General features: G+C 35.5%; 1 protein-coding gene and 1 long non-coding RNA gene across 14 annotated transcripts in view; one reads left to right on the top strand and one right to left on the bottom strand.

Annotated features, from left to right (window-relative positions):
* Positions 1 to 27,698, top strand: part of SNCA (synuclein alpha) — a 114,206-nt gene that overhangs the window by 80,284 nt on the left and 6,224 nt on the right. The gene's annotated exons all lie outside the window — the stretch shown is intronic.
* Positions 8,867 to 19,556, bottom strand: LOC124900856 (uncharacterized). 2 transcript variants are annotated; one of them, XR_007058473.1, is made up of 3 exons: positions 18,478 to 19,554; positions 16,810 to 16,963; positions 8,867 to 16,570 (listed from the first exon to the last, which is right to left on the bottom strand). It is a non-coding gene; the product is annotated as an uncharacterized LOC124900856 (long non-coding RNA). The 2 variants fall into 2 exon arrangements; XR_007058472.1 differs by having other exon boundaries at positions 16,810 to 19,556.

The raw sequence follows: 27,698 nt of genomic DNA, 5'->3' as shown, positions 1-27,698 counted from the left end.
AATTAGGTGATGGGAAGGAATTGAGGGAGAATTTTAGACTAAGCAATTGAGCAGCACCTGTTTTTCACCACAAATCTGTTACATGTATTGCTCAATTGTGCTGAATCCATATTGGGTCCTGGTGGCTATGTAATAGTCTCTTTCTTGGATAAATGTTTGTCCTCTCTTATGGTTTACTAATGGTGTACAGAACAGCATTGAATAGTGGTTATTTCCTATGACTTCCTAGATATCTCTCTCATAATCCTGAATGTTTTAAAGATCATTCTTAGATAGAGTACAGCTAGACACGAACCATAGTGGAAATCAGGTAGACAAAATTTAAAAGGAGTCTTAATTGAAGGTCATTTTATTGTCCTCAGTATTAATCTTACTTAAAACAAACCTGTCACTGAGCAGAACTCAAAACACCAGAGCCCTTTGCCAAATGTGATTTTTTACAACAGGAGCGCTGGCAGTTGAGAGGAGTATTCTGTCACACTTGAGAGAATTCGAGTCCCTGAAGATTTATATGAATGCTTAGCTATTATCGAACCATCTCTTCACAGATGACTTAGTAAATGTCTGCCTTTGCATCAGATAATGGCTTACAAGTTAATCTCCTCTTGCTCCCTGTTACACACATATACACCTTCTTCCTAAACAGCTCATAAGGTGAAAGAAAGACTCAGATTTCTGACTATGTAATTGATAATATCACACGGACTGCCTGCTCATCATCTGCTAGTCACATTGGCAGAGTTGACAGTTTTGGAGACACTGAAGACAGTGCATATATTAGGAAATAAGCAGTTTCCTGATATAAATTTTCTTGTAGTTTATAAATTACATAGCATTTATTATTCCCTCATATTTTATAACATTTAATAATAGAACTGACACATATATTCATTTTAAACTCAATTGTGTATAATAACTATCATAGCAACCCTTCAGTGCCTAAATATCAAATCTTCCATTCCTCCCATGAACATCTTGAATATATAGGTACTGTGGTTAGCTCCAACAAGCTTTTGGTTAGAATTCATTGCACTGATACATAGACATTGTTTTAAAGGCAATTTCAAATCAAAGCTGTCAGCTGTGAATCAAGCACACCTTAAAAAGTGACACATTTGTCACTAGATTCCAGCCTCTCAAATTACTGACACGCATCCTTTTTATGTAAAGATGACATTGTTCTTTCCTGATATATTGCATTCCTCATGAATTTCTTATAGTCATAGAATTTTTATAAACCATTTCAGAATCGCTGAAATAAACATCAATATTTTTAACTTTTTCATTCTGTCAAAAATATTGTATGCAGAGATATTGCTGTAAGTGTGTATACCTGTGCTTAAGAGACTAGGGCTGAAGAGAAGTAATCAACCGAACCACTGGTGTAAATGTGCGTCACATTTTTAGTGACTAGAAATTGAAATAATTCCAACAAATTTATGTGCTTTGGGCTTGAGAATTCAGACTGCCTTAGGCTAAGATAAAAATCTTTTCCTGGTACTATATACCTTCTTTTATTGAATGACTACCTGGCTCTTTCTATTATATATGCAGATTTTGTACCTCTGGTCATCTTTGTAAATGGTGCCTAAAAGATATTTGAAGAATAAGTGACCAGCAATAAGAACAAATGTCTATACAAAAGCACCCTTTAGTTGGATGTAATTCACTACTTTGAGTTGTTAATAACCTCTAAGGATGACAGTAGCTATTAGTTGAATAAACCATTATGTCTATTATTAGAACACTAGATAGTTTATAAGTCCAAACAATGCATAAAATACCTATCTCATGTTACCATTGTTTAGGTTACCAGATAATTGTTCTGTCCAATTATTCCACTTAATTTTTTGCTTGCCCATTAGCTAAATGGCAAGATAAAATTTGTCAAACGGGGGGGAATGTATTGAAAATGCTAGACAACTACACTTAAAATGAAAACAGGCCAGGCGCGGTGGCTCAGGCCTGTAATCCCAGCACTTTGGGAGGCCAAGGCGGGTGGATCACCTGAGGTCGGGAGTTCAAGACCAGCTTGACCAACATGGAGAAACTCCATCTCTACTAAAAATACAAAATTAGCCGGGCATGGTGGCACATACCTGTAATCCCAACTACTGGGGAGGCTGAGGCAGAAGAATCGTTTGAACCCAGGAGGCGGTGGTTGCAGTGAGCCGAGATTGTGCCACTGTATTCTAGCCTAGGCAACATGAGCGAAACTCCATCTCAAAAAAAAAAAAAAAAAGAAAGAAAAGAAAACAAATGCATAATTTGCAAATATTATTTTTATATTGTATGTTATCTAGGGCTTCTAAATGCATTCTTCTTATAAGCCTAGGTTTGCAATAACATTCATTTAGAATTGAGTAATTTTAAATATAATATTTTATAAAATAAAATATAATAATTTCTCTTAATTCTTTGAAAATATTAAATTAAAAGGGGGTTGCAAACTCTGCATTCCACATTTCCATCCCAACATTTAATTTTAGCAATTTTGTAGTCTGCCTAAAATGCAATCCATCATTTACTGTTTAGAAAATAGGGAATGTACACAAAGGCCTTTCAGCTTTCCCTGAACTCCATAAAAATCTTTTTGCTTCTTTACTGCCCCCCTTTGTCAGGAGTTCTGAGGAACTGTTTTTTATCTTAAGTCTCACAAAGCATTTAGGAGAATATTTAAACTTAAATTCTTTTAAAACTTATGTTCAGGACAAAGTAACATTGTATGCATTGGTGTCATATGTATTTAAATTTTGAAATTTTTAATACTGGCAAAATGAGGTTTCAATTTTAATATAAATTATTTAACAATCTTAAATCATTAAATATATTACTTAATATATTTAATATATCTAAACAGTCACAATTTTCCCATACTAATAATCATAAAAAATCTTACCCAATGGTCATATAGATATACTTAATGGAGTTTTGGGGGGGTATTTTTGTATATTAAAAAATTCATATATTTGCCTTACTTAGAAGAACTGATTAAATGAAAGTATAATATTAACAAACATATTGTTATTTTATATTTGCATTTGTGATAATTATATTTGAAACGTTCAAGATTTTCCAATGAATTTCTTTTGCATTTGCGTATTTGTGCCTTTTTATTATAAAAATAGGTGGCTTTTTAGTTCCACTGCATAAGTTTCAACATAGGTCTACAAATAGTGCATCTTTTTGAAGTTAATCATTATAATCACAAATTGAAGTTGCCTGAGCTCCAATTGGAGTCTAAATGGATGACTGAATCTTATTATTCGAAACCCACTGTTGCTACACAATATGGCCACACAAGAGAGTACACAAGACCCGTCTGATTCAGCCTCAGTGCCATAAATATTTTAATGGTTTCGTTGGAATCTGGAAATGGAGCTCACCACAGGAGATGCTTCTTCCTTTGACTCTCATTATTATTTCCTTTACAAATTAATTAATAAAAACTTAGATGCTAAATTAGCACTTGATGAAAACTTATATAGCCTTGACATTTTGATTCTGTGAGTGAATAAAAATACTTGGAGAAATAAAAATCCTAATCATGTTCAGGAATACCCACAAGGTAACAAGTACATTTTTAAACTTTAAAAACATTTATTATTCATGATAAAACATGTTGTGTGATTTAAATATAAATTTTTATTATTTGCTTTAACTTATTTCCGGATTAAAAAGTAAATGTTTACCTAGCTGTTCTAAATGGTAATCCTCATGATTAAAACAGCAATTTGTCATATTTCAGTTACAAATGATCTTTTATTATTAGTTATAGAACATAAGTTTCTTCATTGACTGAGGCGATGTTTCAAGTAGATAAATCTGTTAAAAAAATTGTGGTCATATTCTGTTAAATTCTCATACCAGGCAATTTGTTTGATATTCAGGAAAAACCTAGCCACTGACCAAAAACTCTACCTGCCTTCTCAGTTGTATCCTCTTGGACTTAAAGGGGACTGGGAAAGTTATAAGATGGTTCATGATAGTCCATCAACATCCCAAGAACAAAAACAGATGTTGTACTGACAGCATCATATGATCATATGCATGTAAGAGCACATTCATATTGCCAAATCAGTTGGAATTTTTCACGGTTGAAAGTTAAATGAAATGCTTAGATGTATGAGTCATCGGAGTTAAAGACAATTACAGCCAGATTTATGGCTGTGCTAAAATAAAGCTAGTTAGAAAACAGACCAAATTCCATGACGATACCAAGTCTGACTAATGATTCACCTTAAATTTCGGAGCAACATTTATCCTCACTTGTTTGTTTATTTGACAATGTGCCCTTATCCATTAAGTAACTAGGAGGAAGGGAAAAGCACTACGTGGGTGAGTGACAAGACACTGACACTGATTTGTGACTTTGGATAATTCCTGGATGCTGTTATCTGTTTTGGCATAGAGATGGATCTGTAACTGCTAATAATTGCCGACTGTGACCATCCCAGAGGCCATTTACTTAACCCAGGTATTTCAGACCTGACAGCCCGAGGATAAACACGATTTCCCTCCATCACTAACTTCATCTGCAGGGCCTAAGCCTCCTTCACAGTCTCTCCAGTGATTTATTGGCATCTCCAAGGGTATCTCACATGTGCTGAAGAACAAATCTGCTCACTTTCATCTGCTTGGTTTTCCCTTTTGAAATCTGCTGCTTTAAAATTACTAAGGGAGGAATCATGCCTGCTGCTACCCTTGCCAGTGACCTTGCAGTTTGTGCCCTGATTGTTCCAATTACCACAATCAAAACAGAAGCGTTTGCAGTTACTGCAGTGCTCTCTCTGTGGATGTCAGGTCTGACTCAGAGAGCCAGGCTGGGGAACAGCCATTTCCACTCTTGTACCTCTGCAAAAGGACTTCCATGTTCCGTAAACAGACTCCCACCTCTCATTTTCCCCCCAAGCAAAGCATCATAAATTAGAGAGCATGTAACGGGAAAGAAAATCCATTAGCCATTTGGGTTCAGTCAGACAAGCCAGCTCATGGAAAGTTTATACAGGAAGGTCACATTTCAATTGAGATCAGGAGGGTGAAAGGGTCCAGCTGTGTGATGAGAGAGAGAATGTTCGGGAATGTGGAACAGAGGTATCCAAGGCAGAACAAACTCGTATATGAAGGCTTTAAGGGTGTGCAAATCTAGCATATTTTATGACATAAAAGAGTCCTGATTAGCTAGAATATGATGAATGTGAGAAGAGGTGAAGGCTGGAGATAGGAAAAATTATTCCAGATCTTATAAGCTATAGTAAGAAATTTGCATATTATATATAGACTTGTGGGAAGCCATTGGATTTTGTAAGAAGGAGATTAACATTATCTTATTTATGTTATTTGTGATTTATAACCCCAAATGTGCCAGATACAAACAAACCAAAAATAATAATAATAATAATAAGAAGAAGAACAACAACAGCAATGGAACTGTGGTGATGGTTTTGGTCACAAAATGCATATATATCTATTTTTCACAATGCAAAAATATTTCATTATTTCAAATTTTAACATAAATGTGGGTATGCATGAGCTTACAAATCTTGAAGTTTATTGGGGAATATTGGTGAGCATGGTTTTTATTGCATGGTCACAACTTACTAATGGGAAACATCTGAATACCTATTGAGTTAATGCATGCACATTTTTATTTTCCTGGAATACTGAGAAAAAGGTTGCTACATAATGTCTTGATAGCTTCTAAGTCATGGCTCAAAAGTGAATGTGGAATCTGCTAATCGGAATGGACTCAGATTCAGCCAAGTTCTCAAAAACATTTGCTTTCATAGATGTCTTCAAGAAACAAGGAGTCTTGAATTTAAATTGTGAAGTGTCTATCTTAGAATAGAGAGATTTAAAATCTGACTGTATTTTGTTTAAAAAAGCCTATATAACTGTATTATATAAAATTATTTATACTACAGTTAAAAAAAGAATCCCATCCTATTTGTGCCTAAATAAGTGCCTGCTTGTAGCATGAAAACTATTTGTTGAGGGTCCTTAGATCCTCAGAGCATGCTGTGAAAGTAGGTACAATTGTTCTTTCTATATAAGCCTCTTAAGATAACAGATAATTGCCAGAAATACAGCACACAGTACAAAATTACCTTGTTTTACTTTTGCCACAAAAAACAATTTCTTTTGGCTTTGAGCAATAAAGTCCAATGATTTTTTTCCTTTCAAAATATCTTCCTCCCTCTCCATAAGTTTTATATTTATTCACGAAGGAATATTCCAATATCGGATGTTTTTGTCTGTGTCTCTTCCTGGAACAAATGTTAATTAATCTCTTTGGGTTTGTATGTCAAGTGGAGGGGTGGGGATTGGGGACAGGTGATAGTTGTCTAGGGAGTTAACTTCATCTCTATAGGAGAGTGGATAGACGCTGTATACGAAAAGCTCTTGAAAAGGGAAATACAGCAGCCACTTCCTCAGGGCTTCCATGGTGGTCAGACTCCTTGATTGCTTTAGATTAACTCTGGCTTTTGTCCTTCGGAGGCCACCAGATTGGGTGGATAGACATTGTCCTTGCTGTTCTTTTGACCTACCTACTTGTACTTTAGGGGAAAAAAATGCCTGTAATAGGTTAAATGCTTTCTCAAAGATCACCAAAGTATATAACACATGGCAAATAGACAGAGAAATGAGACAGTATAATCAGTATAATTTATAAAAGTACCTTACAGCAGGATCCCATGGGATATGGGTTTTTTTTAAAAAAAATCTACCTAATCTTTTCATTGAACTCCTATTCAGGATTCATTATATTGAATATGGCTCAGAGACCTGGAAAATTGTTTCCACCTTTTTAATTTATTCACCATCATTTATGGAAGTTTTCAAGGACGTTTACTTACCTACCTCAGTTAACAGATTGTACTACTTGGGAAGTCTATAAATATGAGCTTAAAGCATTTTCTGAGTTTTAAAATAATTTAGATTGTGTAGAATGTTAAAACTAAAAGAGGAAAAAATTATTCAGTTCCTCAGTTGAACCTAGCAATTTATCTTTTCACAGTGTGCTCAAGTATAGTTTTTGAAAAGTAAAGAAGATGGTTTTTATACAAACATAAACACATTTCAAAGATTTTATTCAACTAATTAATTAGTAGTGGAGCCAATAAGCTGGTAAGACTGGTTTAAAGGAATATCTGAGGAATAAAGATTTATAGAAACAGTCAAAGAAATTCTAAAGAGAATTGACTAATAGATATAAATCTAGTAAATATTTGATTAATAATAGCAGTAACCTATGGAATTATGTTTTCTACTGAGCATAAATGAGCATGAATCTCTTTGGGTTTGTATGTCAAGTGGAAGGGTGGGGATTGGGGACAAGTGATAGTTGTCAAGGGAGTTAACTTCATCTCTATAGGAGAGTGGATAGATGCTGTATAAGAAAAGCTCTTGAAAAGGGAAATAAAGCAGCCACTGCACATCTGCACATATAACCTGTAGATCTGGGGGCTCTAATAAAAAAGTTAATGGCAATGTCAAAATCTGGTGTTTTATCTTAGATAACTTCATAGTCATTGATTGAGCCCCTTAAAAATAACATTTAAAGGACATGTAGTCATTCTGTTTCTTTATTGCCAAGTTTTCAGCAATTTTTCTCATGAGAATGAGTGCTAAGAAACTTTTGGTGGAGCGTGGTGGCTCAAGCCTGCAGTCTTGCACTTTGGGACGCCAAGGCTGGCCAATTACTTGAGATCAGTAGTTTGAGACCACCCTGGCCAACATGGTGAAACCTTGTCTCTACTAAAAATACAAAAAAAAAAAAAAGTGGGATGTGGTGGCATGCGCCTGTAATCCTGGCTACTCTGGAGGCTGAGGCACGAGAGTCACTTGAACCCGGGAGGCAGAGGTTGCAGTGAGCCGAGATCCTGCCACTGCACTCCAGCCTGGGCTACAGAGGGAGACTCCATCTCAAACAAACAAACAAACAAAAAAGAAACTTTTAAAATATAACAATAGAGACATTACATAGGCCCACAAAACCACCTCCAAAAAAGCATTCTATCACCTGCAAGAAAGCATATATATATATCTGCTTTTGTGTATATATATATATATATATATATCTGCTTTTGTGTATATATATATACACACACACACACACATATGTGTGATATCAGCATGTGTATTTACACATATATTTTGTGCATGTATATTTTTAACTAAAAATGTGCTAGGAGTTAGATATGAACTGATTTTGGAGGAGGTGATATGCTGTAGAGAGAGAGAATGGGAGAATAGCAGTATTATAATCTCTCTCCATTGTATTCAGTTTTTTTCTTTGTCTGAATTTTTAATAGAAGTCAGCCAGAAGATGTTAGTTTCTGGGAAATGTGTTGAGATTTACAGTCAAATCCAGAGAGAACTAGAGGCTTATGAGTAAATAAGTAAAGGTTATGCAGAGAAAGTATTCTTTTTCCTGTGTAAACTTGAATATTGGCCAGGCGCGGTGGACACCTGTAATCCAGCACTTTGGGAGGCCAAGGCGGGTGGATCGACTGAGGTCAGGAGTTCATGACCAGCCTGTCCAACATGGTGAAACCCATTCTCTACCAAAAATACAAAAATTAGTGGGTGTGGTGGCAGGATCCTGTAATCCCAGCTACTACGGAGGCTGAGGCAGGAGAATTGCTTTAACCTAGGAGGCGGAGGTTGCAGTGAGCTGAGACAGCGCCATTGCACTATAGCTACGGCGATAAGAGTGAGACTTCATCTAAAAAAAAAAAAGAAAAGAAAACCTTGAATATTTCTTGTACTTGTGTTCAAATCATACAGTTATGAAAGTTTACCCCTAGCTGTTACACTTAAAATGTACTTCTGAAATATACAGAGAGATGATACAGACTATTAATGAGTTCCACTAAACTTTTAATGGTTTAGAAAATACAAATATTTTCTTATTTTTCTGGAATTCCAGCCATTAATGTAAAACATTGGTTTCAACATAAATAACACACTGGCATGCACATATGCCTAAGCATGGGCCCCCACACATACAGACATTCTGAAAGACCACTTTTTAAAAATATTCAGTACCGTATATTGTGCATTCCTTCTTTATCCACATACTTAAGCTGCTGCAAGCATCCCATTGATAACACCAGTAATAAAAGATGGGACCATCAGTAATGAGATTTGAAAGCCCCTTTTGCAAGAAAGTAAGGACTAGAAGGTGGAAATCACTCTGTCTTAGAGTCATATGGATTGGGGCTTTGCTAGAAGTGTGTGCTCTCAGGGAAAGCTGCCTTTTTATTTTCTCCAGAGAAAAGCCTTTTTGTCAGTAAAAGAAGATGTATCATCCAATGCATATGTAAAATTCTAAACAGCAGATAAAACAACATTCACTATTAATCTCTGCAAAAGAAGATATATTGAAAAAATCCTCAAGTGTCCCTCTTTGGGTTTCTTTGTTATATATTAAAGCAGTTATCTTTAGATGCATGAGAATCACCTGAAGACCTTATTTTTAAAATTCAGATTCCTGTCAGTTCACTCCCAAAGATTCCGATTCAGTAGTTAAGAGACAAAGCCTAGGAATGTGAATTTACAATCAACACCTCAGGTGATAGCCATGCATGTTCTTAATGCTCTACTACTATCTATGCATAAAAGGAAGATAAAGTTTTAAAAACTTGAAATGTGGTATAACAGTTTAGTATTGAATAATATACATTTTTACTTATTGTAACAAATTATGATATCTACTTGGGGCAACAGTATCTTTTATTTTGGATCTGAATCCTAATTTTGGCTAGGTATCACTGAGGGATTCTTAGTCTAAAACAATTAAATGGAGTTAGTGGTTTTTTTTAGTAACTCTTGATTTTCTGTTTTTTTCCATTGGCATCTTACAAAATTTATTCATTCATTTTTCCCTTTTTCACTTGGCATTATTTGTTAGACAGTGGACAAAAGAACTATAGAAAGTAGAGAAGCATGTGATGTTGTCCTGCTCTTAGATTCTCGCAACTCAGGAGAGGACATTCGCTTACACCAATCATCTCAAAACATGGCAGTTTATGCTGAACTCAGTCCAATGGGAGAGCATTTGACTGAGCACATAGGGAGAGAAGTTAGCTCTGTTGAAGGATAATCAACGAAGAATTCTTAGGAAAGGTACAGTCATTCATTGAATATTTGCTCGGCACTTACTAGGTGCATATGTGCACTAAGATCTAAGGATGGGCTGATGAAGAACCCAGGTCCCTTTTCTTCTAGTGGACATGCAGACTGGCCTAAAAAAAAAAAGGTAACTGGAAAATGGATAAGGAAACTGAGTCACTCGGTTTATTTATTATCACTCGGTTTATTTGCTTTTGTTTGTATTTTCATTTTGACACAGCACAGTGTCATCTTAACGCATCCTCCAAAGTGAAGGATGGGGTGGATAACACTTTAGTTGGCATTTCTGTAGCCAGGAGCCAGGATCTTTCTCCCATAATTGCATTAACCTGGGAAGGCACCCTCTAGGTAGATTTGTATAGCACCCTGGTTAATCAATTATCAGTTTACTTCTTGTCTCACTAAGCTTTAACACCTTACATTTATGAAGCAGTGTAAATATAACTTTAGCATCTTGATCACAGCAAGCACCTGATTTGTATTTTTTTATTAGCTCAAGTGAAATCAGATCAGAGAAGTACATTACAGGTCATAAAATATGTGCAAATTTCATAATGACCTCCTTTTAAAATGTGCAAAAATAAGATTGTTAAGGCACATTCCAGAGCCTTGGGGGGTGTGTGTGTGTGTGTGTGTGTGTGTGTGTGCGTGTGTGTGTGTGCTTGTCTTTTGAGAATATCTGTATATCAGAAAATTTGGCTGAGAAGCAATCTTCTTCTTAGTGGTTCTTTTTCTCTTTTGAAAATAAAGTACTAAAAATACTTAAAGATGCAGAACAGCAACCTGTTCCCAGTGAGACTCTCGTTTAATTAATGTGGTGATCTATATAGAGAAAAGGGACAATTGCAAAAGTCCCTCAATAATTATCTAACCACAGTCTTTAGGTAATTACAGCAGAAAGATTTTCAAGACACAAAACACCCTGGAAAATTTGACCTCTTATTTTGATTCAGGCCTTTCATTTCTTAAATATTTTCTTTAATGTTGATGTTTATGCTTGACAAGGTCAGCCTAATGCCAGATGAATCCCTGGAACTCAAAACATTGCTGAATTCACAGTTGAAGGATTTTAATATAATATACCAGCTTTTAAAAATCCTACAGTGAGAATAACAGGACTGAATAAAAAAATTAAGAAATGCTCAGGTAGAAATAAATAGAGAAATTTAGAAAAAAAATAAAACGTATTCAAAATAAGTATTAAGCATTGGCAAAGAAAAAATAGTAGCAGACAATTACATGTTCCATTTGTAAAGATGATTATTAATTAGTGGTCTTGCAAAACATTGGAGAAAATTTGCTGAACCATCACATTCATAAATATTAAAACCACCCATTAGTGAAAATCTTTTTACTAAACTTCACAACTGATAGTCAAATAATGTTCAGTTTTTCTCCATTGCAATAAAAAATAAAGGCTTTTGCCTTCAGATCAGTCTCTGGGCCTTATTAATTCAGTCAGCCAGAAGCCACATGGAAATATTTTGTTTTGTTAAAAGCCAGCTTGCCCTCATGATCTTTTAAAATCTTTTAAAAATCTTCCATCAGCCCTCTCCCTGACTTGAATTATGGCAGTGCTTTCTAAACTGGTAAACTCAATCTCCTTGGTGTGCCTCAAGATAGAGTACATAAACCCTCCTTAGAAATTGAGCTCTCAATTCTAAATTGCACTCTCCATGAGAGCAAGCAAGAATGCTTTGCTTTGTATTAAGTGGTCACAATATTAAATATAACCATAGACAGCACTGTATTTTCTAAACACCTTATTTTCTTTTAATGACTGACATAAATTAGATCATAAGTATACAAATGCATATCTGTTGTATTTTTCAGCACCATGTGTTTTTTTTTCTTTTTTCTGAGTTATTTTCCTGCTTTCGGCAGCCTTTTCTCTCAGGTGCCTTGTGATCCACAGTGGTGTGTGTTCACACTAACCAAAGCAATAGTCTTACCTGCCAGAAATAGCTGTGACATTTAAAGAGAGGTCCAGGGGAAGGCACAGTGCTTAACATCCAAGTCTGAAGAGCTAATAGTGAAATTGGGGCATCAGCTACAGAGAGATTTAGGGGAAGTAACAGGCAGGTTAAATATTTTATGGAAATGATTTCTGTTCTGTATATGATTGCAATTAACACATGTCAATCTGTTTCATTAATTTGTTAACTCATCTATTATGCTATGCCATGAAGAAAATAAAATTGGAGTTCTTTATTTTTTTGAGATGGAGTCTCACTCTCTTGCCCAGGCTGGAGTGCAGTGGCAGGATCTCAGCTCACTGCAATCTCCACCACCCAGGTTCAAGCGATTCTTCTGCCTCAGCCACCTGAGTAACTGGGACTACAGGTGCGTGCAACCATGCCTGGCTAATTTTTGTATTTTTAGTAGAGATGGGGTTTCACCATGTGGGCCAGGCTGGTCCCAAACTCCTGACCTCAAGTGATCCGCCTGTCTTGGCCTCCCAAGGTGCTGGGATTACAGGCGTGAGCCACCGCGCCCCGCCACAAAACTGAAGTTCTAAGCTTCAGTTTAGATGCTCACTAAATGCTTGTTTTGCAATACCTGACTGTAACTGGCAGGAATATGTTTTGAAAGTCCTCATTTTCCAGGTATGCAGATGAAATATAGGGGCATTATCTACTATGTCAAATTATAATGATTTATCAGTGGCACATGAAAGTCGCCTCACATTTCTTAATCAGTGATATACCATTATGTCATGCCACCTTTTAATGTAATATGTTTACATCTTTCTTTAGATGTAAGCATTCATTTAGTTCATCACGGTGGCTTTCACACTTACTCCAAGAACGCTATGAGTTCCTTTGATGTGCTCAAGTCTCCTGCCCCAGGGAGAAAGGGAGTGGTGAGCAGGAATCGCTTTAATCTATTTACACAGATATTTTCTTTTCCATTTATTTTAAAGGAATTTTTTTTAACTTAATGAGTATGCAGTGACGGTGGTGATGATGATGATACTAAGGTTTAAATGATTAGATAGTCAAATCTGGGCTGGAATTGTAATACTGTTTTGACTTTTAATCTTAGAGAAGCTCCAGTCTGCTTATTTTCTGGGCATAAACACATGAGAACAATAACACAGTTCTGTTATCTGAATGTTGTTATATTTTGTTTGAAACATTCAGTGACTTTCAAATATTGTATTTGCCTAAGAAAATTCAACAGAGTCAGACATTCTCTTCCAGGTTAAATTTGGTGAGTCTGCTAGGAAAATAAATTTTGTGCACTGGTCATTCTGATCTAGTGGACGTTCTAATAAAAGCACCTTTGTGCTGCCTACGTCTTCACTTTAAAGATAAGATACCTGGGTACTCGACACCAAATTATAGTTTGAGATCTCAAAAATGGGATAGGGAAACCACAGCTCAAAAACAAAAATACTAGCACTGGAAAAGATAGAACTAGTGAAGATGAATCATTCTCTAGACTTTAAATTCAGAGATATCAAAATTAAGAAAAAGTAGGAGGAATAAAAAAAGAGGGTAAGCAAAACAATATAAGTTTGTATAGCAAGAGGGTATAAAGCAAATACAATATTTTTCAGAAAAATTAAATAAAAATAGATTTACATAACATTGTTTTTAATCTCAAAGATCAAATTTCAATTTTCATCTCATTTTAAAACCCATATGCACAGTCTCCTTTATATACATCAGTTGGGTGTCAAAGTGACTTTTTTCTTGTTTCCAAATACAGTTATTTTTAAAATTTAATTGTATGATTTAGGAATTTGAAAGCAAGCCAGTTTGCACACACATATGTTATTATATGTGTGCTTTAGACTTGGTTTTTAGTTAATGTAACATGACAGGGCCACCTGAGTTATTTGTTTACAAACTAGCTGGAAAGCCACCCTGGAGGAGAAACCTGGCAACAAAATGGTCTGCAGCTTTGTTATTGTTATCTATAGGATTGGATGCCATTATTGCTGTAAAATAGTTCACAAGAACTCAGTCTATGGGAAAGACTCAAAAATTCTTTGCCTGTTAAAGAAAAATCAGGATATTGGACTGGTTAGTTTAACTAAAAAGTGATGATACTCAGATTCTGCTTGGATTCACTGCTTCTCAGCAGTTGTTTTGTTTCTTTCTAATTGATATTTTATTTTTCAGAGAACCCATTATAAAACTCTTCTTCTTCCCTTAAAATCACAACCACACAACAGCAATTAAAACATGCTTTGACGTAAGACTGATATGGTTTTAAACCCAGCTTGACTATCGAATTTTTTACTTTAGGCAAAACACCTCTGACATTTATGTCTTATCGTCAGTAAAAAGGGGTGATTAACAGTTTTACAAGATTATTCAATAAATAAATATAAATTCCTCCTTTTCCTTCCTTTCCTTTCTTCATCTTCAGCATCTGCATGCCATAAGCTCATTTTAGTTCTCTGGACTCATGTTAACATGTCCCACCTTTCCCAAATTAAACATCATCTCTGTTATTGGCTCCATTCTTTTCCTCTCATTTGAGACAATTCTTTATCAACCAACACCCTCTCTGCTCTGTATTGTGAAACTCTGCTCCTACTACATTAACAGTCTCTTGGTTTCTTTAAAAAGAAGACAAAACAATTAAAGAACAGAAGCAAAAAATCTACTCAAATCCCCAATTGTTACCCTCAAAATTAATTGTCCCACCCCTAGCTTTCTCATTGCACAACTCTTTGTCAAAATGTTTTCTACCATCACAGCCTTCAATGATCTTTCTGGTTCCTTTATCTCCTGAAGTCTGACTTCTACCTCCATCTTTTTCTGGACTATTCAACACACTTTGAGAAAAAACATACTTTTGTTAAACAGGTATGCATCCCTGAAGCATAAAATACATAGTACTGAAAGTGCACATGTGTGGTTCTTCCCATTTTTTTTACAGCACTTGAAACTGACAAGTAGTAGTACCAATTACTTAGTAAAAGACCTTTTTCATTTCATTTCTGAAATATTGTTATTTTCCTTTTTCATCTTCCATCTCTGACTACACCTCCAATTTTACCTCTTTGCTGCCTTCCTTCCTAAGAAAGTTCTTCATGCAATGCCATCTTGTTTTTCTTCACTTGCCTCTTTTTCTCACTTTAATTTTATGAACTCTGATGACTTACCTCTGTAGTGTAACTACTCAAAATATGTATTTCTGAAGTCTCAACTCCAATCTCATATTTTCAACTTATATTTATGGAGGCATCTCAGACTCAACCTACCTAAAAAATGGCTTATCTGCCCTAAAATCTACTTTGTTCTTTTTTTCTCTACTGCTAATAATTATCTTCCTAGTTGGTCAAGCTCAAAACCTAATCATTTTTACTCCTTGTCCCTGTGTCAGCTGTCCACATTCAAGCAGCGTATCATTTCTGCACATTTTTCAAGCAAGTCAGTAACTGCCTTTTGTTTGGGACTGTCTTTTCATATAGTGAACAGCCTTGGAAGATAGAAATCATTTCTCCTTCTAAAACAAAAGGCAGGTGTGCTTGCAGCCTTGGATAGAGGTAGTGCCTCTTTCTAAAGCAAAGGGACATCTTTACTGGCCATTATAAAATATCCATGTTTCCTGAGCTCTGCGTTCCTCTTTTCTAATGCAACCCACTGAGCATGTAGGTGTCACCTGAGCTTTTCTGTGGGAATTGCGGCTTGAGGAATCAGTGCAAGAAAATCATGATACTCTTGCTAATGCTATTAATGTGAGTAGTAAAGTTAATTGTCTCTGACCCAGCACTATTGTGTCTTTGCCCAGCACTCAAAAGACTGGCAGGCTTGCAAGTAGGACAAAATGTTAGATTTTTCACAGTTCTTCTGCTTATAAGTACTTGTTAAAACCAATTAAAACACAACTTGTAGTTTGCACCTATAATTTTGTAGCATTTGCTTCTTATCTATGTCACTAGGATGTGCTTAGTGACAGACCCATCTATCATCTATTACTCAAGTTTTTGGCTGTATTCCTAGGCAACAGAGAGAAGGGGAACAAACAAGAGGACCTGTGCACAGTTTGAGAAAGGCAAAACACCGAGCTTAATTGCAGACTTGAATGTAGCTAGCAAACGAAGTAAGGCAAAAGGTTCCTTTTTTTTTTTTTTAGATGGAGTCTCACTCTGTCGCCAGTCTGGAGTGCAGTGGTGCTGTCTCGGCTCACTGCAACCTCCGCCTCCTGGGTTCCAGCGATTCTTCTGCCTCAGCCTCCCGAGTAGCTGGGACTACAGGCATGTGCCACCATGCCCAGCTAACTTTTGTATTTTTAGTAGAGACGGAGTTTCACCACGTTGGCCAGGATGGTCTCAATCTCTTGACCTTGTGATCCGCCCATTCGGCCTCCCAAAGTGCTGAGATTATAGGTGTGAGCCTCCGTTCCCGGCCAAAAGTTTCCATTTTTTAAATAGTTGGGTTTTTAGTTTCGATTCTTTCCAAAAAAAGGTTTTCTTAAAAAAATAAAATTAGCAATAAGATGAAATATAACAACAATATAATCTTATTAAGACAATATATGATATACATTTATCAAAATACTTATATTTTCAAAAGTGCTTAAAATAATCTAGCACATAGTAGATGCTCAGTAAATATTTGATATTATGACTGTGCATGGGTCATTATAGGCTACTTTATGTATATCATTTCATTTAGTACAACATCACTCTGAAAAATGTTTTATTGTTACCGTTTTTCAGTTGAAACATTTACGTTGCTCAAGATCTCACTGGTACCATCTACTATTAGGTCAGTCTGCCACCAAATCTCATGCTCTTAAATGCCCTTTTTCTCCTGAGCTTCCAACAAATAGTGTACTGTATATAATTGTTGAAGGGAGGGGACTGTGAGACAAAATATTTAGAGTGAATGTGTAGCCACAATTTCAGTTCCTCAACAAAGTGATAAAATTAGGAATCATCCTCAATATATATTCTTCCAACACACACACACACATACACACACACACACACACAAATACCACAAGCCCACTTGAATGCACCCCACCTACACATTGCAACCATAGAGACAATTGCAGCATTAAATACAGAATATTCTGTGTGTTGTTTGTTTGTTCTCCCTTTGCTACAAAAATCAGAATTTCTACTCAATAAACAGCAAAGGGAGATACAAATGAACCAAATTAAAGAAGGAAAAAATGTTGAAAAAATTATATACAGAACTATGTATTGATTTATTGAGAGTTCAGTAATGTAATCCAGAAATAATGGATGCCTTAAAAGTAATTAAAAGAATGCAAATAAACATTTAGTGCCAATTAAAGAAAAAGAAATACAACATTAGACAAAATAAAAGATATTCATTTGATGCAATGAGGAAATAATCTTTTATTCCTCTTTAAATTCTCTGTGGAATAAGGCATGGTTATAAATAAATAAACATCTGCCCCATGGACTTAATGGATCGTTATATTTTATTGCGATAATCATAATGAAATTGTTGGGAGGGATTAGTATCTCTAGTGTAATGCTAAGAAAGATAAAGCCTGTGCCCAGGCAAAAGCTTTCTTGGTTGGTCAAAAGGTTTGAAGACATTTCAAACTATTCTAAAACAAACAAACAAGCAAACAAACAAAAAACATACAATGTCTTTGCCACATATTTAGGAAACAAAATGAACAATTTATTTCTGACAACCTCATAGTCTTTGTTCTGTCAGAACAATAATGGAAAGGTCTAAACCAGAAAATGCTATGCATTGAATTTATAATAAACTATTTTTTCCTGTAACAAAAAATTGATAAACTTGATATTTGCAGATTTAATGATTATGTGTTTAAAAAAAATCTGGTTTTTGCCCTTGCAAAAAATCATATATATACACATAGATATGTATGTGTGTGTGTGCATAGTATATATATATGTATATACATATATATACACACATTTATATATATAAACATTTCCTTTAACCTCCTATTTTATTCCAATAAAAATATTGGTATTAGAGATAGTTCTGATATTTCATCATGAATAGTTAACATTGCATTTGGAAAGGATTAATTTTTTTGAAACGTAATTTTACCTTAATAAGTAGCCCAGCGTAATATTTTAGTAATTACACAGATTTTTTTTTCAAGACATTTGACAACTAATATTGCATAATAGTTAAGAGTGTGGGCTTTGGAGCCAGACTTCCTATCTCTGTTCATTCACTGATAAAATGGAGACAGTAGTAACTTCCTCAAAGAGTTGTTTTTTAAGATCAAATAATGCATATAAAACTCTTGAAATGGTACCAAATACAGAGTAAGCACCAAATAAACATTAACTGTTATTGTTATTCCATGTCCGAATAACACAGAAAAGTAAGAATTTTAATATTTCATTTGAATGACCTTTTAAGGATACACCTAGCCCATTATCTTTCTTGATAATCTTGTAAGATGATTCCTTTTTTATCTCCGATCTGTTGAGGCATGGATAGAGGTTTTCAGAGAAAACATTTTCTAGGTAACTGAAAGAAAGTAGCAACAACAAACTGTGACAAAACTTAACAATGAGAGAATTTACAAGATAGAATAATTGCAACTCCTTTTGAAATCAACCACTATGGTCCTCTGGCTGGGATAGCTAAGCAAAGATATTCCAGCCTGAAGGTTGAGATCTACTTGAAGAGTTTTCTATCCAGATTGTGAGGGCCCCTCAAACTTCACTTAGTATCTGTTTCTATTAGTATGGAAACTTCTGGAACCTTGTGGTATCACATTCACTTGACTACTTTATTCCTGCTCTAGCTATCTTAAAGCCTTTCTTAATCTTTTATCTTTTAGAGAAGATACTTCTAGGTTTTAAATCCACCGATCTTGAAGCTATTGCCTTCACTCTCTGCTTCAGAGCCCATCCTTTTGTATATGAGTAGTTTGTTTTGCCTAAAGTACTTTCTCCCAGTCAGATTTTAAGTCCAGTTTCTCATCTGTTTTTGAGAGCAAACTCCTGGGCCTTGGCTCACTAACATCTTGACAGCATATTTCTTCTTTCCTATGGGCTTTTCAGCATTCCCTGGGTTTTTCTAAAATATGAAAGCAGACTCTTTATCTCTTACTTTGTCAAAGCCTACCCTCCCCACTGATTTCTCACCCAGTTGCTAGTTTTAAGACCTGCCTCTGGCCGGGCGCAGTGGCTCACGCCTGTAATCCCAGCACTTTGGGAGGCCAAGGTAGGTGGATCACGAGGTCAGGAGATCGAGACCATCCTGGCTAACACAGTGAAACCCTGTCTCTACTAAAATTACAAAAAAATTAGCCAGGCGTGGTGGTGAGCGCCTGTAGTCCCAGCTACTCGGGAGGCTGAAGCAGGAGAATGGCGTGATCCCGTGAGGCAGAGCTTGCAGTGAGCTGAGATCGCGCCACTGCACTCCAGCCTGGGCGACAGAGCGAGACTCTGTCTCAAAAAAAAAAAAAAAAAAAAAAAAAAAAAAAGACCTGCCTCCAAATATCATTGTATTTGCAAACATGAAATGACTTATTGATTCTGAGCTCAGCACAAGAGCAAACCTTTCTCAGCTTGACCCATCTTCACATCGTTAATGTCTTATTCAGTCACTACCCAAGGGGCTGACCTTCAAGATTCTAATCCATGAAAGCTTAAAATAGTAAACAAATTTGAATATAGTTTAACATACATAATAAATTTTATTTCTAGAAGAGGAGGATCAGCCCTTAGACATGAAAAGTAAAAATAGTTTATTCCCAGATTTCCCTTTGTGCATTAGTATATTCAACCGAGTCTATCCAAGTAACAGGACAAAAAAAGCTGGCAGTTGTTGCTGCGCTGTGAAGTCTTATTAGGTGAGTCAGCTAATTATATGGCACTACCATAAATACAGCAGGCACTGCCCTGCTTGTTAGGCTTGCCAAGGAAAATAAGGATTTAAAGCAGCATACTACCTCTTTGCTATATAATGACATTTTCTTCTTAAAAATGATTTTGCACCAATTCCTGATTTATCCACCAATTATTTTTTAATTTATGGTTGAATGTATTTAAACCTGAATTCAGAGATAAAACTAGTAAATAGCTCCCCAAAATAACCCCAAATATATTTAATATATTAGCTTTACTCTCTCCTCCACTGCCAAACCTTTAAAAACTGAAATAAATTGTTTTTATTTCATCTTTTCTCTTTTTCTCTCTCTCTAAGGTGATTGCCAAGACTAAAGAAACAGCTAGAAGGGCAAAAGACAAGAAAATCAGTAAGATAGTAACAGATTATCCAAAGTAGAGCACGGCTCAGGTGCAGTGGCTCATGCCTGTAATCCCAGCACTTTCGGAGGCTGACGCAGGAGGATCACTTGAGTCCAGGAGTTTGAGACCAGCCTGGGCAACATAATGAAACTTCATCTCTATAAAAAAAAAAAATTTAAATAGCCGAGCATGGTGGTGTAAGCCTATAGTCCCAGCTATTTGGGAGGCTGAGGCTGGAGGATCACTTGGGCCCAGGAGTTGGAGACTACAGTGAGCTATGATTGTATCACTGCATTACAGCCTGGGCAATAGGGCAAGACCCTGCCTCTAAACAAAAGATAAACAAAGTAGAGCATAAATGGCTTCTAAATATATGTTATTTATGTGTAAGACTGGGTTCTCTAAAGGTATCATTTAATTAAAATAGATTTGCATTCTCAATCTGTAGGTATGGATTATGTATAATGTATTTAAGATATGACTTACAGCGTTCACCAATGTGACTATTCCCAAGTGATCCAGATGGCTGATGACATAGTAATTTGTACATTTGCTGAGACCTGATCTGAGTAGGTATGTAACATAACTGAGGGAGAGCAAGTCCATTTGCCGAAAGAAAGCCTAGCATATGACCCAGGAGCCACATCTTCACTCAGCCTTGTTGCTAGGTTTGGCTTAGCATATATAATAGCATAGCATGTATAATTTATGACAAAAAATTATACTTTGCACTTTTTAATTAGAACATTCAAAATGATCTCAGGAAGTGGCACCAGAGATCATCAGTGGTCTACTGTACTTCGTGTGTATGTGTCTGTGAGTATGTATGTGTTTGTGTGTGTTCCCACATTCTAAGGCATGTCTTTTACAGGTTAGTAGAAAATGTTGATAGAAAATTATAGATTTCAACATCTAAAACACAGTAGGTCACTACATTGTTAAAACTTGGAATTTTTTATCTTGTTGTAAAGTCAGGCCAACCAAACCTAAAATACTGCTACATTGAAATAGTGCAAAATATTCAAAATACTATAGTTATAGATTTGGTAGTAGGACTGTACCAGACCTGTCACTCTATACAAGACTTATGCCTTGCCCTTTCACTTACCTGTTCCCTTTTACATCTATCTTACTAGATGTAATGCTATAAATTATATTTCTAATATATTATAATTTATCATGTATTATAATGTATCAAATATTACAAATTATGTTGCAACTCCCCTTACCTTTCGTCTGCATATTGCCTCAGAAAGAACAGATGGATCCAACAGACTTCAACCACAGGCCCTTAGTGACAAATAGCTCTTAATGCTGGGCTTGCCACTTTGATGCATTTCTAAAGTTATAGAATGTTAAATGCACCAAGTCCTTTGGTCATTTTATTTCTACCTTAGATCTAAGCCATAACTATACTTTCCCAAAAATTAAAGTTTGAATTTTAACTTAACCATATATAATTGGAAAAGGAGGTTGGGTTCGTTAAGTGTAATTTTATCATGCTTTATTATCCTTTGGGCATTGGATACAGCAGAACATGCCAATTTCTATGGCTTCTCATGTGACAGAATATACTTACTAGGATGCAATTAAATACTCCTCAGAGTATGTAAACAATAAATGTAATCATTACATTATTTTTATATTGTTCTTTCTTATGCATAATAGTAAGACTGAAAATATAGTGTTATTTCTGAAATATGCATATTGTTTTGCTTTTGATGATTAAATAACATTGTCCAAAGTTTTAGGTTTTTTGAAATCTTATATTTTTTAACAAAATATCTAGCCTTTCCAAAACAAGACCTCAATAATTCGTTTAAGACCCAGAGTTGTTCCTCTCCACATAGATCTCTTAAAAAGGCAGAGGATTTATGACCTCAAGAGAAATCAGAGTATCCAAAGTTTGCTTTAATTCAATGTTTTAAAAATAAAATTCCTTAGATTTTATCAAAAATTGAGATTAGTTTGATTTTGAATCAGATGCCCTTTGCTCCCCACCCCAAAATGGCATTATGAGCAGACTAGGAATTGATAATAGAAAATTGAACATATGAAATATATCTTTACCTTGCTTTTTAACAAGGTATTCATGTCTATCGCCTTCATTTTTAAGTGCATCAATAAAATACATGGTAATTCTCTTAGTGAAATATACTATCTACACTATGTACACACTCCCCTGTCTGAGGTAGAGAAGTAGAGAATATTCACATTTTTGAAACGTCTATGCTATTTTTATTTAAATACGAGTTCTGGGCTTGATTTCATTTTGGAACACGGGTGTGTGCTTAAGTTGAACCTTTTTTTCCTCTTAAGTCAAAGTTCTTTTTTAGTTTCTTCTTTTATCTTTTTGGCTACTATCTCTCTCCTTCATCCTCCTGGTGTGAGTTGTTGAGTGAAGGTATTAATTCCATTATTTGAGGCTAAGTGACATTGTTCAATAATGCAGCAAAACAATGGTTCTACCCAAAATATCTTCAAGTGTAAAAGCAGTGGGCAAAAGAGAAAGTGCGCTTCTGCTGCTTTGAATGTTTAAGGCTGTGAAAGTTGATCACACAAATTGGGTCATTCTTGTTATACCCAACTAAAACAATCAAGAAGCCTGGGAGGAAAAGCATTCAAGAAACATCACATTGCTCCAAAAGTGTAATTTTCTACAAGTCCGCATGCTGAGGCTGCCTGTTGTAACCTGGGACCAATTTTTTCTGTAACTGCTGAAAAAACTTGCTGCAGCTCTAGGACTAATTTTGCCCACCACTGTCACTCACCAATTGAAGCTTACTAGCTCCCCAGAACCTTTCTAGTGCCAATGAACTTTCTCAAAGAGCAGCGTGTATCATTTCTCTTTTTCAGAACACCTCCAACCTCCTCTTTGTTCTTTGGGTATACCAAAGACCAACCAGCCTTGAATTTCAATTTTTCTTCCCACATAAAAGTTTTAATTTAGAAATGTATCTCTACATTTCTAACTTTGACAAAGCATAGATACCAGATAATTGATGAAACCTTGCTATTTTAACGATCACCATGGATTACTTCCCAGTGTCTTCAGATAACCCTCAACATTTGCCAACATTTGATGGACTTCAAAATGAGCATATCTTTTTTAAAAAAAATTATTCACACTGACAGCAAGTACATTGGTATACTCTATATTAAATTATACCACAGGGTTTACAAACAATTGGTGATGTCGGGCAGTGGTTTCCAAGGAACATACTTAACAAGACACTCACAAGGCCCTACAAACCTGCATTTTTAACAAGGGCCCTAGATGATTCTAGAAGAGTGTGGTTTGGAAAGCAATTTTTGCCTTTATTATGTGTCATTTTAAATATATTTAAAATTAAAGTTATAAGTCATAGAATTGAATAAAGATAATTTCCTTACAGAAAGTATTACTAGGTATCTAAATACAATATGGTTCAAAACAGGAAATTTAAAAAGATTATGTAAATTCTGTAGTTGTATTCCTAAAGACAGTAGCTGAAATTTTTTCCTACTTCTCCTTGTATCACTTCCCTTTTCCTTCACTTTCACTTCCCTGGAATTGTACTTCCCAATAAGCTATTAGCAGTGAAGGAAGCTTCGTCTCATGATCTGTTTTATAGAGCACTTCAGCTGGGACGAGTACGAAATGATAATCAGTTATATCAGCTATTCAACCCTACAGGTTTATTTAAAAAGAACTTGAATAAGCTTTTTAGGGAGAAAGAGGTCAGTCTCAGCCATTTCTGTTTCCTAATATAGCTTTTAAGTCTTTCCTTATTAGCAATGAGGGTCATTCCATTGTAATTTTTTGATAACCATTTTTCTTTCTGTGTGTCAAATGCAGATATAAGATACTGAACTGAGTCTATTTCACTGTTCGTAAAACAATCCCATTTGAAAAAAAAAAGTCTACAGCTATTCCAGGGATAGGGCCTAGTAGAGAGAGAATAAAAGGTATTTTCTTACTATGTCTCTATATCCTACCCTGTAGGTTCTCTTATTAAGCATACAGGCATATACCAAAATCCAGACGTTTTTCTCATTTATTTTATTGCCCTAACATATTCTGGGTTAATATAATATCATAATGAAAATTTGAGAAAAAATTGATTTTTTCAAAAGTGTTTAACATTTGTTATATTGGTAGTTTTTTTTCTTGTTTGTGGTAAAAATAAATAGAAGGTGCACTTCACACCTTCAAGTATGATTATATTTTGAAAACAAGTCATGAATACTCATAAAATGCAAATTTTAATGTTCTTTTTTTGTTACAGCCAAACTATATTAGGCACAGTTGTAAATTGGAGTTGAAATTTAATATTTCTTTATAGATAACAATGTTTTTAGAAATAGGTTTATGAAACAGTAAATATACAGGTATAGGGATAAAATTGTGTCTGATGGTCATATGAAGTGTTTGTTGTTATATTCTCCTTGGAATAGCTGCCAAATATTTTAGTATGCTTAAAATCTACGAATGTGATAGAGTCAACAAATTTAGATCACATATTCAGAAAAACATAGTTAGAGAACTAACTATTGAAATGAGCATACAGCAGTCTTCCTTTATCTACAGGGATACATTCTGAAACCCCCACTAGGACACCTGAAATTGCGGATAGTAGCAAACCCTACATATACTGTTTTTTCCAATGCTTATGTACCTATGAAAAAGTTTAATTTATAAACTAGGCACAGTAAGAGATTAACAACAATAACTAATAACAAAAGAGAACAATTATAATAATATACTGTAATAAAAGTTATGTGGGTATGGTCTCGCTTTCTCTTTCCCTCTCTCTCTGTCTCTAAATATCTTAGTATTTTGGGGTTGCAATTGGTGGTGGGCAACTGAAACCATGGAAAACAAAACCACGGATAAAAGGAGACTACTGTATATACTTTTTAAAACTGATGAAATATTAAACTCATGTTTCTTCTATATCCCACCCATTTCCCCCACCCAAACCTAGATAGATATCTTATTTGATCTGTAAACATTTAATTAATTTGTAAAAGTTAAGAACTTTTTGAAGTAAAACTGCAATATATCATCACACCTAAAGAAATAAACAATAATTCTTAAATATCAAGTCAGTGTTCAAATTTCCCCAACTACCTCATATGTGTTTTCCATTTGCTTATGTAGGGTTCCCAATGAGAATGAAATAAAGTTCTTAGGTTGCAATTGGCTAATGCTCTCTCACTTCTACTTTAAGCGGCAGGTTCCCACTAACTTCTTTTTAGTTGCAATTTACTTATTGAAATTAGACGTATTCTTTGTCTTGTGTAGTTTCTCACAGTGCAAAATTTGCTGATTGTAGCCACTGTTGTAAGCAATGAACATGTTTTTCACCACCTTATATTTGCTGTAAGTTGTCAGTGATAGTTAAATGTTAATCAAATTCAAATTCGGATCACGTAGGGCTTTTCTTTTTTTGTTTTCTTTTTCTATTTATATATTTATTTATTTATTTTGAGACGGAGTCTCACTCCGTCACCAGGCTGGAGTGCAATGGTGTGATCTGGGCTCACTGCAATCTCCACCTCCCGGGTTCAAGTGATTCCCCTGGCTCAGTCTCCCGAGTAGCTGGGACTATAGGAGAACCACCACGCCCGGCTAACTTTTTGTATTTTAGTAGAGATGGGGTTTCACCATGTTGGCCAGGATGCTATAGATCTCCTGACCTCACCGATCATGTAGGACTTCAATTGTCGAACAAACGAACCTTTAATAGCAGTTACACCATTAGGATGACCTGATCCAACATCGAGGTCGTAAACCCTATTGTCGATTTGGACTCTAGAATAGGATTGTGCTGTCATCCCTAGTGTAGCTTGTTCCCACTTGATGAAGTTATTGGATCAGTGAACAATAGCCCACTTAAACTAGTACAGTCTTAGTTTAAGATGGTGATGTGTATGTACTTCCATCAGAGGGCACATAATACAGTAAATCCTCACTTAACTTCATCAATAGTTTCTGGAAACTGTGACTTGAAGCAAAACAACATATAACAAAACCAGTTTTACCATTGGCTAATTGATATAAGCAAGAATTAAGTCCTATGGCAAATTTCTGGACACAAAAACACCATCAAACTCCTAAATAAAGATAAATCACTTCTGACATTAAACATTGAAATTAATGTGAGCTATATATACGTTTAAGAAAGATTAATACAAACAAGTCAAATAACTTACCTAATTATTTCGGTGGAGGCCGCAGGTGGTTGGAGCCTATCCTGGCAGCTCAGGGAGCAATATGGGAACCCACCCCGGACAGGACGCTGTTCCATTACTGCAGGGTGCTCTTGTACACACCCACTCACCCAGGCTGGAACCATGCAGACACACACACTCACCTAACCTACACATCTGTGTACATCCTTCAAAGTTCAGCCAAATAACATATAAACAAATCCAGTAATATCCATCAGTCTTAGTTCCGTCATAACAACTCCTTTTTGATCATCAAACAACAAACAGGGTAGGTCTGCCATATTTACTTGTCTGGTCCATATCAAAATTTTCTAACAAATTATATTAGAAAATCAAATCTCTGTCAGTTTCAAAATCATGGAAAAAAATTTGCCTTATTTCCCTTATACTTGGATATCCTAACAGTAATCTAAATATTAATGAGAAAGTTAATGATGTCGTTTCCTTCTCCCTGTTGTAAAGAAGGTTTTGCTGTCCCGTTTGATCACTAAGACTAATTGACACTCAGAAAAAGCATAGGAAACTTCTCAGCATCACAAAAGCTCTGTCATCTAGAGAAGCTAGGACTTGAGCTCAAGTCCTGTGACATGGAAGGCCTTGTGCCTAGCCATCCTGCAGCAGAGGCGTATCTACCAAGAAGTGAAACACTACGAAAACAGTATGTTTACTCCACATTTTAAAGTGAGGTAGTTTGGGGTGGTTCATATTTTATTTAATTTATATATTATTTGGATTTTTTTTAGTTTATAAAAAGGGCATTGGCAAGGGCAGAATGATCTGTAAGCTTCTCTGCCCACCTACCATAAGCATGATCTTTAGTGTGACCTTTTCTTACTGTTAGCCATTTTCTTATACTTCTGCGTCCCTGTCAGTCACTTCCATGTGAAGACATGGGGAAGCTTTTTTACATCAGACATGTTGTTGAAAATCAGCCGCGTTGGCTGAGGGATTATTTGATCTCTTTCTCCAAGTCCCTTTAGGCTCACATTGCCTCTCTGTTCTTTGAATTTTCACTTACCTTTATCTTCTTATAATTACTTTGCTGAAATAAATGCAAAGCAACAAAAGGTATTTAGTGAAGAATACCAACAAAGCCATGACCATTTCAGGCTGAGTTTTGTAGTATTCTTTGTCTAGGAAGAGATACCTAGAAAAA

Source organism: Homo sapiens, chromosome 4 (assembly GCF_000001405.40).
Source record: "Homo sapiens chromosome 4, GRCh38.p14 Primary Assembly".
Classification (NCBI taxonomy): Eukaryota; Metazoa; Chordata; class Mammalia; order Primates; family Hominidae; genus Homo; species Homo sapiens.
This window is presented reverse-complemented; position numbering and strand designations above follow the sequence as displayed.